Source organism: Homo sapiens, chromosome 9 (assembly GCF_000001405.40).
Source record: "Homo sapiens chromosome 9, GRCh38.p14 Primary Assembly".
Classification (NCBI taxonomy): domain Eukaryota; kingdom Metazoa; phylum Chordata; class Mammalia; order Primates; family Hominidae; genus Homo; species Homo sapiens.
The window spans coordinates 60,891,831-60,908,020 of NC_000009.12; the positions used below are offsets into that span (position 1 = coordinate 60,891,831).

General features: G+C 38.4%; 1 long non-coding RNA gene across 1 annotated transcript; it reads left to right on the top strand.

Annotated features, from left to right (window-relative positions):
* Positions 1–6,483: 6,483 nt before the first annotated feature.
* On the top strand, positions 6,484–7,896 carry LOC105379434 (uncharacterized). Its single transcript, XR_950632.1, has 2 exons — positions 6,484–6,523; positions 7,652–7,896. It is a non-coding gene; the product is annotated as an uncharacterized LOC105379434 (long non-coding RNA).
* The last annotated feature ends 8,294 nt before the right edge of the window (positions 7,897–16,190 follow it).

Below are 16,190 nucleotides of genomic sequence, written 5' to 3' on the forward strand. Positions count from 1 at the left end.
TTTGCTAGGTATACTTCCTAGTATTTTGTTTACACTATTTGTCTGTGTGCATGGATGAGGTACACCATAGCAAGGTTATCCTAGTATCATATGAATTAAAGAATGGTCTCTTTTTTTTCCCCTCGCAGATTATTAGTGTAACATTGGAACTACTGGTGACATCATCTGGGCATCATGTTTTCTTTGTAGAATTATTAATTATTAACTCAATTACTTTAATGGTATGATTTCCATCTAGATTTTCTAATTATTTGAGTCAACTTTGATAAATTATATGTATCCAAAAATGTGTTAATCTCACTTATTTACAAATGCATATATATGTCTTGTTAATGAAATAGATCATAAATATAAAAGTGTGTGTGTACAGCTTAAGAAGAATATAAAATGAGCATATGCGCCCTTCCTTCAGGTTATGAAATAGAATATTTCCAGTATCTTAGAAACTCCCATTGCCCTTCTTCAATGCCACTCACTCTTTCCACAAGAGGTAACCACTATCCCTAACTTCCTGTTAATCATTCCATTGCTTGTCATTATAGACTTGCATATTGTTTAGTTTTGCACATGTTTGACTTTTTTAATAAGTGAAACTGTGTATTGTTTCTTGTTTTTTTTTTCTGAGACGGAGTCTCCCTCTGTTGCCCAGGCTGGAGTGCAGTGGCGTGATCTCCGCTTACTGCAAGCTCCGCCTCCCGGGTTCATGCCATTCTCCTGCCTCAGCCTCCCGAGTAGCTGGGACTACAGGTGCCCACCACCACGCCTGGCTAATTTTTTATATTTTTTTTAGTAGAGATGGGGTTTCACCGTGTTAGCCAGGATGGTCTCGATCTCCTGACCTCATGATCTGCCCACCTCGGCCTCCCAAAGTGCTGGGATTACGGGCGTGAGCCACCGTGCCTGGCCAACTATGTATTGTTTCTTGTGATTAGATATGCATACACACAAACATGTGTATGCATATATATATATACATGTACACACACATTATTTTTTAGAGCAGTTTAAAGTTCACAGCAAAACTGAGCAGAAGGTATAGATTTCCCATATACTCCCTGCCCCCCACACATGCATAGCTTCTCTCATGATAAACGCCCCCCACCAGAGTGCTGCATTTGTTACAATTAATGATACATGATACATCTTATAGTTTGCATTAAGGTTCACACTCGGGCTTGGACAAATTTACAATGACAAGTATTCACTATTAAAATATCATACATGTACTTTCAGGGCCCTACACATCCTCTGTGCTCTAGTTATTCATTCCTCTCTTCCTCCTAACTCCTGGAAACCACTGATTTTTTTTTTTTTCTATCTCTATAGTTTTACCTTTTCCAGAAAGGTCATATAGTTGTAAGTGACAGTATGTAGCCGTTTTAGATTGGCTTCTTTCACTTTGTAATATGCATATAAGCGTCCTCTGTGTCTTTTCGTGGCTTGACAGCTCTTTTTATTTTTTATTTTATTTATTTTTTTTATATTTTTTTTTTAGAGGGAGTCTTGCTCTGTCGCCCAGGCTGGAGGGCAGTGGCGTGATCTCCACTCACTGCAAGCCAAGCTCCACCTCCCGGGTTCACGCCATTCTCCTGCCTCAGCCTCCCGTGTAGCTGGGACTACAGGCACCTGCCACTGCACCTGGCTAAGTTTTTGTATTTTTAGTAGCGACGGGGTTTCACCGTGGTAGCCAGGATGGTCTCTATGTGCTGACCTCGTGATCTGCCTGCCTCGGCCTCCCAAAGTGCTGGGATTACAAGCGTGAGCCATCGCACCCGGCCAACATCTCATTTATTTTATCATTGAATGATATTCAATTGTCTGGATGTACCACAGTTTGTTAATTCACCTACTGAAGGAAATCTTGCTTGTCTCCAAGTTTTTGCAATTATAAATAAAGCTTCCATAAACATCTGTGTGCAGGTTTCTGTGTGGACATAAGTTTTCAACTCCTTTGGATATATACCAAGAAGCAAGATTGCTGGGTCGTATAATAAGAGTAGATTTAGTTTTCTAAGAAGCCACAAAACTGTTCTCCATTTTGTATTTCTATCAGCACTGAATGAGAGCTCCTGTTGCTTCACATCCTCATCAGCATTTGGTGTTGTCAGGGTTCTGGATTTTTGCCATTCTAATACGCATGCAGTAGTATCTCATTGCAGTGCTGTATTTGAGAATGTGAATAGCTGCAGTTCATTCACTCTTAGTGCTGCGAGGTACTCTATTATCGGAATATATGATCATTTAGTTACCCAGTCCACTATCTACCCATATTGAGAGATAACTAGATTGTTTCCAGGTTTTTAAAATTGGGAACATTCTCATACACCTCTAGGTAAACAAACGCAAGAATTTTTCTGGGGCCTGTAACAGGCTGACTAGGTTGCACTAGGTTGTAGTGAAGTCACTGGGTCATAGGGTACGTTATGATCAGCTGTATGAGCCAGCATCTGTCTGTTTTCCAAATGGCTGTCCTACTTTAGTGTGTGGGATGAATACTTCCGTGGTTCTTTATCCTTGCCAATACCACACGTTTCGGAACTTCAAAAAAAAAATTGTCAATATGTATGAAAGGATATCTAATTGTTAATTTTCATTTTCATGATTATTATGAGGTTGAGCACTTTTTACATGCTTATGGGGTATTTGTGCTAACTTCTCAACAGACATGTTATTTTTCACTTATTTATAGGAGGCATATTCTGGATACCAGACCTTTCTAGGTAAGATGTGTTGCAAATAGCTCCGCCAAGTTTTGGGTATTTTTTTTCACATTGCAGTATCCTTTAATAAACAGAAGTATTAAATTTTTGTGTTATCAAATCAATTTTTCCTCTTTCAGTTTGTTCTTCTTCCCCATGTAAAGATAAAAGATATGGCCAGGCGCGGTGGCTCACGCCTGTAATCTCAGCACTTTGGGAGGCCGAGGTGGGCAGATCACAAGGTCAGGAGATCGAGACCATCCTGGCTACCACGGTGAAACCCTGTCTCTACTAAAAATACAAAAAATTAGTCCAGGCGGGGTGGCGGGCGCCTGTAGTCCCAGCTACTCCGGAGGCTCAAGCAGGAGAATGGCAGGAACATGGGAGAGGAGATGGAGCTTGCAGTGAGCCGAGACCGCGCCACTGCACTCCAGCCTGGGCAACAGAGCGACTCCATCTCAAAAAAGAAAAAAATAATTATTCCCAGGTTTTTTTCTAAAAATGTTGAGAAGCTATCTTTATCCGTTAAAATATATTTTTATGTTTGTTCTCCGGGATTAAGTTTCAATTTCATTTTTTTCCCTTATGGAGATCAGTGGTCCCAGTGTTGCTTATTGTAAAATATACTATCTTCACTTAACAACAATGAAAGCTGTGTTACAAAATCTGTTTCCCAGTATTAGTGCAAAATATATTTCTCTTTATGATTGTACTCAGATTAACTAGTTTGCAGGACTGTGTCCAGAGTTGGTTCCTTCGGTGGGTTCGTGGTCTCCCTGACTTCAAGAATGCAGCTGTGGACCTTTCTGGTGAGTGTTACAGTTCTTAAAGATGGCACGGAACCAAAAAGTGAGCCTAGGAAGGTTTATTGCTGAGAGCGAAAGAACAAAACTTCCACACCCTGGAAGGTGACCCCACCTGGTTGCTGCTGCTGGTTGCGGGTGGCCAGCTTTTATCCCCTTATTTCTTCCCACCCATGTTGCGTTTCTGTCTTATCAGAGTGCCCTTTTTTCAATCCTCTCCACTATTGACTACTTTTAGAATCCTGCTGATTGGTGTGTTTTACAGAGGCTGATTGGTGCATTTTACAAATTCCTTGTAGGACAGGAAAGTTCCCCAAGTCCGCACTCGACCCAGGAAGTGCAGCTGGCCTAACCTCTCACTGCCAGAGGCTAATTTCCATCCTGGTATTTCTCAGGCCCATAGATAGTGTGAATTCAAATCCAAACCCATATGTCTATTGACTTAGACATACTTAGAAATTACCATTTTTTTTTTCTTTTTTCTTGTCTACCCTATTGAAACCAAGACAAGCATAGATTTTCACTTTCTTCTTATGGGAGTGGGATTTTCCTAGCCCCACTTAACATGCTTCTTTTTAGAAATCCTAGATTTATGCAGAAGGCATTTTAGCCTATATTCCTCCCTGCATGGGCATCAGTCTCTGTCTCCTGAATTAGGTGCTCATGGTTCTGGGCCAATAGTTCCTGGGAGACACCCCAGGGCAAATGCCAGATGAGACACTCACACCTCTGGATTCAAATTTTTTTTGCTCTTGTAGATATCTGAAAATTTGCCTTACTTTGACTCAGCCCATGCATTAAAGCAGATGCTTTTAAATATTTTATGATGCATGTTTTAGGAAAGAGTCTGTCTGGGTATTTCTTCTTTTGATTTGCATTTTGCTTTCAATTCTTCTTTCACACTATCCTAAGCATTAATCAACTTGTCGTTTATGTCAGTTAGTACAAAACTTCACTATCCTGTTCATTATCACCATTTCATTTTGTTCTGCATAGGCCAGACTATTTATCTAAAAATGTTTAAAGAAATCTAAGGCCTTAAAGGATTCTTTCTCAGGGACTCTACTGTTTGTATTTAGAGAAATGCTCATTTGTTCCACTGTTTTACTTTCTTCTTGGGTCACGCTCTTTGATGACTGCCATCTTACAGAGGATGACAAAAGAGGGCCCAGGCTGAGACAATGATACCTGCTTGCCCCTTTGGATTTTATTTTCTTAGTGTTCTCAAAATATTAATAAAATGTCAAAAACAAATTAATATCACCAGAATGTGTGCCTCACTTAAAATTTCTCTCTCTAACAAGTTTTTGTTTCCTAGTTCCTTTGGTACCCTAATGTTTAGGTAAATAGTCTCTGAGGAAAGGATGTGAAAGTCATAGCAAAATATATGCTGGACTTGAATGAAAAATATCTGTTTCATAAAAGTTAAGCAGGCAACCAAAATTTACCTTTTTTAACCTAAATTATCTAAACATGTATTTACATTTCTGCTTCATTAAAATATATTTGAGATTGAATGCTCCTGAGACAGATTTTGGAATGCCCTCCCTTTCTAAAATATATTTTTTATTTTTTGTGGACTAAACAGTTATTTAAAAATGAACTTAATGATTGCTAATTAGTTATCTAAATACTTATTTAAAAATAAACTTAATGATTGCTAATTACTCAGTTATTTATAATGCATTTCAAAATTAACTTTATTGTCTAAACCTCTTAACACAAATGTATTAAATTATGTAACAGAGAATTGGCTATTTTTGTTCAAATATCTATTCTTGTCAGACTTAAAATATCACTCAGCTATATGATTAAAAATGAACTACAGTCATTAAATTATTTCCCACTTATTTGTGGCATTTCTCCATATTAGAGGAGACAAACAGTGCTCTTTGAATCTTTTTTTTTTTTTTGAGACGGAGTCTCGCTCTGTCGCCCAGGCCGGACTGCGGACTGCAGTGGCGCAATCTCGGCTCACTGCAAGCTCCGCTTCCCGGGTTCACGCCATTCTCCTGCCTCAGCCTCCCGACTAGCTGGGACTACAGGCGCCCGCCACCGCGCCCGGCTAATTTTTTGTATTTTTAGTAGAGACGGGGTTTCACCTTGTTAGACAGGATGGTCTCGATCTCCTGACCTCATGATTCACCCGCCTCGGCCTCCCAAAGTGCTGGGATTACAGGCGTGAGCCACCGCGCCCGGCCCAGTGCTCTTTGAATCGGATGACAGTTCTATTGATAATGGCCATCACAATCTAGTTACGCATTATTAATTAGGTCAAGGCATGAATAAAATTTCTCCCTTGTTTCCACTCAAAAACTACAAGTATAGTTCTTTGGTAAGATGCTCCAACCATGGCTGGGTGCGGTGGCTCAAGCCTGTAATCCCAGCACTTTGGGAGGCTGAGGCGGGCAGATCACGAAGTCAGGAGATTGAGACTATCCTGGCTAACACGGTGAAATTCTGTCTCTACTAAAAAATACAAACAATTAGCTGGGCATGGTGGTGTGCACATGTAGTGCCAGCTACTCGGGAGGCTGAGGCAGGAGAATGGTGAGAACCTGGGAGGTGGAGCTTGCAGTCAGCCGAGATCACGCCACTGCACTCCAGCCTGGGCAACACAGTGAGACTCCGTCTCAAAATAAATAAATAAAATAAAATAAAAAATAAAATAAAAAAAAGATGCTCCAACCATGATTGGTGATGCCAATCATAGAAGAAAAGAGAATATTGAGAAATAATAAGACAGCTACTTTAAACCATTCTGTGCCTGAACATTTTGATGGCAATATTGGTCATATTATAAATTTGAAAATATAAATGGTAATCTAAATTGACTTTAGTCTACCAGTGATTATGAGAGCTTTATCTAAGTGAAACACTTGCATTTTTATTTCCAACATTTTTCAGAAAATGTGAAACTCCGACCAAGTGCAGTGGCTCATGCCTGTAATCCCAGCTCGTTGGGAGGCCGAGGCAGGTGGATCACAAGGTCAAGAGATCGAGACCATCCTGTCCAATCTGGTGAAACCCCGTCTCTACTAAAAATACAAAAATTAGCTGGGCGTGGTGATGCGCACATGTAGTCCCAGCTACTCGGGAGGCTGAGGCAGGAGAATCGCTTGAACCCGGGAGGTGAAGGTTGCAGTGAGCCAAGATTGTGCCACTGCACTCCAGCCTGGGCGACAGAGCAAGACTCCATCTCAAAAAAAAAAAAAAAAAAAAGAAGAAAAAGAAAATGTGAAGCTCCTTATTATTTTGTTTTAATTTTAAGAATTCCACTTCCTAGATAAGCAGAACATACAGCCAAGTGCTATGTTCTGGTTGTTTTTAATGAGTATATTTATGTTCTCCCCAATTTATTATTTATTAATGTCTAACTTCAATTAGATGAGTTGATTACTTTTCATACACCATTGACTAAAGGAAACCTAATTTTACACGTAATTCAAGGGGATCTGTAAGTAAGAACATTTTAAAATTAAACCAACACATGTGCATTGAAAATCATTCAAACAGTTTGATGGGCAAAAAACCAGTGAAAACCAGAAACTTTTTTTTTCCTTCCATAGACCTTGGTCCTGTTTTTCAGAGTTAGGCAAGGTTTATCATTTTCTTTTTTTACTATATGCTATTCTCTTGAACTGTAAATAATATTATACAATCACCTAATTTTGTTTTAACAATTTTAAGTAATATCCCTTGACTTTTTATAAACGGTAGAGAATATAGCTCATTTACCCTACTTTCTTCTTCTAAAACTATATTTCCAATTTAGTCTTTAATATATAATTTTATGGGATTTTTAAAAAATTTGCTTTCTCTAAATAATATACTTACAGTGCTTAATTCTTTGCTTAAATAATATACTGTTTAGATAATATATGGTCCATCCAATTTGAACACCACTGATTGGCTCAGTAGGATGTGGAGATTAGTGTACAACTTCCCTCCCCTCCAACAGTCCCTGTCATAGCTTTCGACTTGTATCAAATTTCATTCTATGCTTATATTTTCACATTTTATGTAAATTACATCCTATTTTGTAATTATAATAAAGTCTGTGCTTTGTTCGTAGGTTAATTTTGATCATGGAATCTCAAGTGAATTGACAGCATCATTATTATGTTTTCTTTTTTTTTCAAACCACAGTCGCAGGTGGCGTGATTTGATTTGTGTGAAGGCAATGAAATGATACACAGATACACCGAAGCCTCCCAAAAGAATCCTGGTTCCAAGACTCAAGAAGATGGATTAATGTTTTTCCATTAATTGTTGGAATTTATGCCATTTTTTACTATGTGCCATCAATTTTAAAGCACTTCTGAAAAGACATAACAATCTAAATGAGATGGCATTTTAAATTCATAAAAATATAGTATTTTCCTCAACTTTTATACATTTATGATGCATTATTTCTTATTTCCCGGGAATTTTACTACCTTTGTTTTGAATGATTAAAAAGGAAACACAGCACTTTTTTCAGCACATCACCAAGATAGCCTAGTTAATATTCTTCTCTTTCTGAAGTAGTTGAATTGGGATAGACAGCTTGCCAGGCCTGCTGCCACGTGTCAGCATCGCATCCCTACATTCAGCCACACTTGCATCTAACGACCATCTCTTTCATTAAATTTCTTTTGCACCTTTTCTTCCTGAATGAGTGCATGATACTTAATTTTCCTGTGCACTTGCATGTCTCAAGAAGGTTTTAATTCTTTTTGTATTGCATTAATATTAAGTTAAGTTTATAATTGCAAAATGATTTATACTCAGAACATTGAAGACTCCTTTGTTTTGTTACATCCTGTCAAAATGATGAGAAGACAGATCATCCTTTAGGGAAAAATTGGTTTTGATTGGTGTCAGCCTTTCCAACAGCAATGCTGGAGACAAGAATAAAATGAAGTAATATTTTTCAAGGATTAAAAGGAAACCAATTTTAATCCTTGAATTATTTGCAGCCACAATCTTTTAAATATGAAAGCCCAGAAAAAGACATTAAAAAGTAAGGCCTCAAAAGTTTTATTTCAAATAAATCCCTTTGAAAATGCTTAGAGGTCATACTCCACTAAGAAGAGAAATACACCGTGGTGTTAGAATTGAGGGTTCCAGAATCAATGGTAGTGGTGTTTATCATACTCTAAAAAATAAATGAAAACATAACATATTGAAAACAACCCCGAGTAAACTTCAGAAAGCACCCCCTTAGACAAAGTGCTGTCGTAACAGAGAAAGCAAACCAGAGGTGGCAAGAGGAAGCTAGAGCACTTATCTTGTTTGCTGAGATGATATTAATTTTGACACATATCAGAAATTGAGAAAATTAACATAAATAATGATATAACCACCATTACAATGTTAAAAATTTCCAGATTTCAAACAAATAGAAAAAGATTTGATCTATACAGTGAAAGGTACAATAGGAAAAAATAAACAGTAAAGAAAGTATGAAAAATCATAAAATGAGATGACAGAAATAACTCATAATGGAACAATAATTACATAAATCAAAGGTTAAGATTGTCAGGTAAAATTTTTAAGTGTCAAAAAAACACTCAATAAAACCTATCGAAAATAAATTAGTGTAAAAAATATAGCAGGAAAATATGAATAAAAAGAGCTAGGTCCAATTTTTGATAAAAATTTGAATTCAAGTTAATAATATCCTAAAGAAGGAAAAAATCTGTAGACCAATAGAGAGAAAGGAAAGGCGCATTCAGACAAAGAAAATGTGTACAGAACACACTAGGGATATCAGAAGAGGCTGCTCATGGCCAGGCATGGTGGCTCATACCTGTAATCCCAGCACTATGGGAGGCCAAGGTGGGTGGATCACCTGAGCTCAGGAGTTCAGGACCAGCCTGGGCAGCAAGGGAAACCCCATCTCTACCAAAAATACAAAAAAATTCGCTAGCCATAGTGGCACATGCCTGTGGTTCCCGTTACATGGGAGGCTGAGGTGAGAGGATTGCTTGAGCCCGGGAGGTGGAGGTTACAGAGAGCCCAGATTTTGCCACTGCACTCCAGCCTGGGCAAGAATGTGAGACCCAGTCTCAAAGCAAAACAAAACAAAATAAAAAAGAAGCTGCTCAAGACCAGACTGAGCTCCTAGACCTTGAACTCCAGTCCCACCTCACACCCTAAGGTTCCTAAAGAATCAGTAACTTAGTTCACCCTACCGCACTCCTGACTTCTGGATGTAGCACAAGTTTCTAAACTTATGCAAACAGTGAGGACTATCTATTTTGACAAAATAAGAAATGGAGTCAAGGCAACATGTAAAAGATATTTTTGCCAGTTTTATTGATTAACAAAGAAAAATTGTATATAGTTAAGGTATGCAGTGTGATATTTTGATATACATATACATTGTGAAGTGATGATTACCACAATCAAGCTAACATATTCATCACCTCACCTGGCTACCTTTTTATTTGTGTTTGTGTGGTGGAGAACACTTGAGATCTACTCTTTCAGCAAATTTCAAGTATACATTATTATTGACTTTAGTCACTATGCTGTACATTAGATCTCCAGAACTTATTCATCTTATAACTGAAAGTTTGTACTTTCTGACAAACATTTTTTCTTTTCCCCCAACTCCCAGGCCCTAGTAAGCACTATTTTACTCTCTTACCATGAGTTTGACATTTTCTTAGTATGCATATAAGTGAAATCATGCAGGATTTTTTTGCATCTGTTCCTGGCTTATTTTACTTACCATAATAAACTCCAGGTTTATCCATCTCGTTACAAATGGCAGTATTTCCTCATTTTTAAAGGCTAAATGATATTCCATTACATATGTGTGTGTGTCTGTGTGTGTGTGTGTGTGTAATACATTTAAAACATCCATTCATCTGTCAATGGACACAGGTAGTTTCCATACCTTGGCTGTGTAAATAACACTGTAATAAACATGTAAGTATATATATCTCTCTGAGATAGTGATTTTCTTTACTTTGGATATATACCCAGATGTGAGATTGCTGGATTATATGGGAGTTCCATTTTTAATTTTTTGAGGAAACTACATACTGTTGTCTGTAATGGCTGTACCAATTTACATTCCCATCAACTATCAACTAAGCACAAGGGTTTCTGTTTCTCAATATCCTCAGCAACATTTGTTACCTTTTTACTGTTATAAAAGCCATCCTAATAGATGCGAGGTGATATCTCATTGTGCATTTTCCTGCTGATTAGTGATGGCAAACATCTTTTTCTTAATATATACCTATTGTCAATCGTATGTCCTTTAGAAATGTATCTCTTCAGGTCTGATATGCTTTGGCTGCATCCCCACCCAAATCGCATGTTGAATTGTAGCTCCCATAATTCCCATGTGTTATGGGAGGGACCCAGTAGGAGATAGTTGAATCATGGGAGCGGTTTTCCCCATACTGTTTTTGTGGTAGTAAATAAGCCTCACAAGATCCGATTGTTTTATAAGGGATTTCCTTTTTCACTTGGCTTTCATTCTGTCTTGCCTGCTGCTGTGTAATATGTGCCTTTAGCCTCCCACCATAAGTAAGGCCTCCCCAGCCTCATGGAACTGTGAGTCCATTAAACCTCTTTTTCTTTATAAATCACACAGTCTTTGGTATGCCTTTATCAGCAGCATGCAAACAGATGAATACAGTAAATTGGTACTGGTAGAGTGGGGTGCTGCTGTAAAGTTATCCAAAAATGTGGAACCAACTTCGGAACTGGGTAACAGGCAGGGGTTGGAACAGTTTGGAGGGCTCAGAAAAAGACAGAAAAATGTGAAAAAGTTTGGAACTCCCTAGAGATTTGTTGACTAGCTTTGACCAAAATGCTAATAATGATATGGACAATGAAATTCAGGCTGAGGTTGTCTCAGATAGTGATGAGGAACTTGTTGGGAACTGGAGTCAAGGAAAATCTTGCTATGTTTTAGCAAAGAGACTGGCAGCATTTTGCTCCTGCCCTGGAGATGTGTGGAACTTTGAACTTGAGGGAGATGATTTAGGGTAGCTGGCAGAATAAATTTCTAAGCAGCAAAGCACTCAAGAGGTGACTTGGGTGCTGTTAAAAGCATTCAGTTTTAAAAGGAAACAGCATAAAACTTTGGAAAATTTGCAGCCAAATGATGTGATAGAAAAGAAAAACGAATTTTCTGAGGAGAAATTCAAGCCGGCTGCAGAAATTTGCATAAGCAACAAGGACCCAAATGTTCATCACCAAGACAATGGGGAAAATATCTCCAGGACATGTCAGAGACCTTTGCAGCAGTCCCTCCCATTACAGGCCAAGAGGCCTAAAAGGAAAAAATGGTTTCCTGGGCTGGTTTCAGGGGCCCCCTGCTGTTTGCCACCTAGTGACTTGATGCCCTGCATCCCAGCTACTGTAGCCATGGCTAAAAGGGTCCAAGGTACAGCTTGGACTGTGGATTCAGGTGGTGCAAGCCCCAAACCTTGGCAGTTTCACATGGTGCTGAGCCTGTGGGTGCACAGAAGTCAAGAATTGAGGTTTGGGAATCTCTGCCTAGATTTCAGAGGATGTATGGAAACTCCTAGATGTCCAGAAAGAATTTTGCTGCAGAGGTGGTGCCCTAATGGAAAACCTCTGCTAGGACAGTGCAGAAGGGAAATATGGGGTTGAAGCCCCCACACAGAGTCCCCACTGAGGTACTGCCTACTGGAGCTGTGAGAAGAAGGCCACTGTCCTCCGGACCCCAGAATGGTACAGCCACCAAAAGCTTGATCATGCACACAGGAAGGCTACAGACAATGCCAGTCCATGAAAGCAACCAAGAGGGGGGCTATGTCCTGCAAAGCCACAGGGGTGGAGCTGCCCAAGGCCATGGGAGCCCACCTCTTGCATAAGTGTGACCTGGATGTGAGACATGGAGTCAAAGGAGTTCATTTTGGAGCTTTAAGATTTGACAGGCCTGCTGGACTTTGGACTTGGGGCCTGTAGCCCCTTTGTTTTGGCCAAATTCACCCATTTGGAACAGGTATGTTTACCTGCTCCCTATACCTCCATTGTATCTGGAAAGTAACTAACTTGCTTTTAACTTTATGAGTTCATAGCTGGAAGGGACTTGCCTTGTCTCAGATAAGACTTTGGACTGTGGACTTTTGAGTTAATACTGAAATTAGTTAAGATGTTGAGGGACTGTTGGGAAGGCATAATTTGTTTTCAAATGTGAAGACATGAAATTTGGGAGGAGCTGGGGCAGAATGATATGATTCGGCTGTGTCCCTACCCAAATCTCCTCTTGAATTGTAGTTCCCATAATTCCCACATGTTGTGGGAGGGACCTGGTGGAAGACAATTGAATCATGGGGGCAGTTTCTCCCATACTGTTCCCGTGGTAGTAAATAAGTCTCATGAGATCTGATTGCTTTATAACGGGTTTCCCCTTTTGCTTGGCTTTCATCCTGTCTTGCTGGCTGTCATGTAAGACATGACTTTCACCTTCCACTGTGATTGTGAGGCCTCCCCAGCTACGTGGAACTGTGAATCCATTAAACCTCTTTTTTTTTTTGGAGATGGAGTCTGGCTCTGTCACCCAGGCTGGAGTGCAGTGGCGCGATCTCTGCTCACTGCAAGCTCCACCTCCAAGGTTCACGCCATTCTTCTGCCTCAGCCTCCCAAGTAGCTGGGACTACAGGCACCCACCACCACACCTGGCTAATTTTTTGTATTTTTAATAGAGACAGGATTTCACCATGTTAGCCAGGATGATCTCAATCTCCTGACCTCATGATCTGCCTGCCTCGGCCTCCCAAAGTGCTGGGATTACAGGCGTGAGCCACCGTGTCTGGCCAAACCTTTTTCTTTATAAATTACCCAGTCTCTGGTATGTCTTTATCAGCATCATGAAAACAGACTAATACAAGATCCTTTGGAATTGTCTGAGTTCCTAATTTATTTGGATATTAACTTCTTATCAGATGTATAGTGTGTAAATATTTTCTCCCATTCTTTAGGTTATCTTTTCATTGTATTGGTTGTCTCCTTTGCTGTGCTGAAGCTTTTAGTTTGATTTACTCCCATTTGTCTATTTTTGCTTTTGTTGTCTATACTTTTGGTATCAAATCTGAAAATTTATTACCAATACCAGTATCAAGGAGCTTTTCTCTGATATTTATATCTAAGAGTCTTACAATATTGGTCCTATGTTGAGGTCTTTCATCCATTTTGAGACAATTTTTGTATGTACAGTGAGATAAGGGTTCAGTTTCATTCTTCTGCATGTGGATATCCAGTTTTCCCAACACCATTTAATAAAGAGACTAAATTTTATCATTGTGTACTCTTGGCACCAATGCTAGAGATCAATTGATTGTAAAGTCATGGATTTATTTCTTTCTATGCTCTCTATTCTGTTCCCTTGGCCTACATGTCTGTTTTTATGCCAGTAGCATACTATTTTGATTACTATAGCTTTATAATTTAGTTTGGAATAAGGTAATGTGATGCTTCCACTTTTGTTTTTTCTGCTGAAGGATGTTTTGACTGGGGTCATTTGAGGTTGCATAAAAATTTTACAACTGCTTTTTTCCATTTCTTTGAAAAATGTCATTGAAATTTTGATGGGGTTGCATTATATCTATAGATCGCGCTGAGTAATAGGGATATGTATCTTCTTCAAATTCTTTCATCAGTGTTTTATAGTTTTTGGTATATACAAATTTTACTGTCTTATTTAAATTTCTTCCTAAGTAGTTAATTTTTTGATGGTATTGTAAATGAGATTGTGTTCTTTCAGACGGACTCTCACTCTGTCGCCCAGGCTGGAGTGCAGTGGTGTGATCTTGGCTCACTGCAAGCTCTGCCTCCCGGGTTCACGCCAATCTCCTGCCTCAGCCTCCCGCCACCACGCCCAGCTAATTTTTTCTATTTTTAGTAGAGACAGGGTTTCTCCGTGTTAGCCAAGATGGTCTCGATCTCTTGACCTTGTGATCTGCCCACCTCAGACTCCCAAAGTGCTGGGATTACAGGCGTGAGCCACTGTGCCCGGCCCGAGATTGTTTTGTTAATTTCTTTCTGGGATACTCAACTATTAGTATATAAAAACGTAACAGGTTTTTTTTAATGTTAATTATGTGTTCTGCAAATTTGCTTGTTTCTTAATTTTAACAGTTTTTAATTGGAGCCTTTAGAATTTTCTCTATATGAGATCATGTCATCTTCAAATAGAGACACTTTCACTTCTTTTCCAGTTTGGATGCCTTTTATTTCTTTTTCTTACCTAATTGCTCTGGCTAGGACTTACAGACTTTTTCAGAAACCCCCCAAAATAATCTAAGGGAGTCCATTGTCACTAGACCTGCTTTATAAGAAATTCTAAAGGGAGTTCTTCAAACTGAAATGCAATAAGACTAATTAGCATCACAAAAACATATGTAGTTATAAAAAGTCACCAGTAAAAGTAACTATACAGTCAAATTCAAAATATTCCTAATACTGTAATGATGGAGTATAATCACTTTAACTTTTAAAAGGTTAAAAGACAAAAAATATTACAAATAAATATAACTACAAAATAAACAAAGAAATAAACGCTGACATCAAAAAAACATAAAAACTGGAGGGGAGTAAAGTGTAGGGTTTTGTATATGCTTGAAGTTAAGTTGTTATCAACTTAAAATAGACCATTATAACTATAATCATACATTTCTTAATGTGGATATGTTCTGAATAATGCCTCATTATGCAATTTTGTCATGGTGTGAATATCATAGAGTATACTTACACAAAATTAGATAATACCACCTACTACACACCCAGGCTATATGGTATAACCTATTGCTTCCAAGCTACAAATCTGTACAGCATTGTACTATACTGAATGCTATAGGCAACTATAATACAATGATAAGCATTTGTGTATCCAGATGTATCTAAACATATAAAAGATACAATAAAAATGTTATAACCTTATAGGGCCACCGTTGTATATGTGGCCCATCATTGACCAAAACATCCTTATGTGGCACATGAGAGCATATGATGTTTTATGGAAGCCTCAGGATAATCACAAAGACAAAACATGTAATAGTTACACAAATGAGAATTTTACCATATGTTTAAAAAAGAATTAATACAAAGACACAGAAAAGAATCAAAGTATACCACTACAGAAAATAATCAAAATAATCAAATCATGCACAGCAAGAGAGAAATAAAAGAACAAAGAAACTGCAAAATGCCTATCAATAGTTACTTTAAATGTCAGTGGACCAAATTAGAAAAGACACAGAGTGGCTGAATGGACAGTAAAACAATAACCAAATATATGCCACCTATAAGAGATTCACTTCACCTTTAGAGACACACATAGACTGAAAGGAAAGACAGGGAACAAAAAAAAAGAAAGAGTAGCTATTCTTACAACAAACAAAATAGACTTTAAGTCAAAAACTGTAACAAGAGGGAAAGAAAGTCATTATAGAATGATACAAGGGTCAATTCATCAAGAGGATATAATTACTACAAATATATATTCTCCCAACATTGGAACACCTAATTGTATAAAGCAAATATTAACAAATCTGAAGAGAGAAGTGACAACAATAATACAATAACAGTTGGGGACTTCCATAACCCACTTTCAACAATGGATTGATCACTCAGACAGATAATCAATAAGGAAACAGATGACTTGAACTACACTATAGATCAAATGGACCAGACATATACAGGACATTACTTT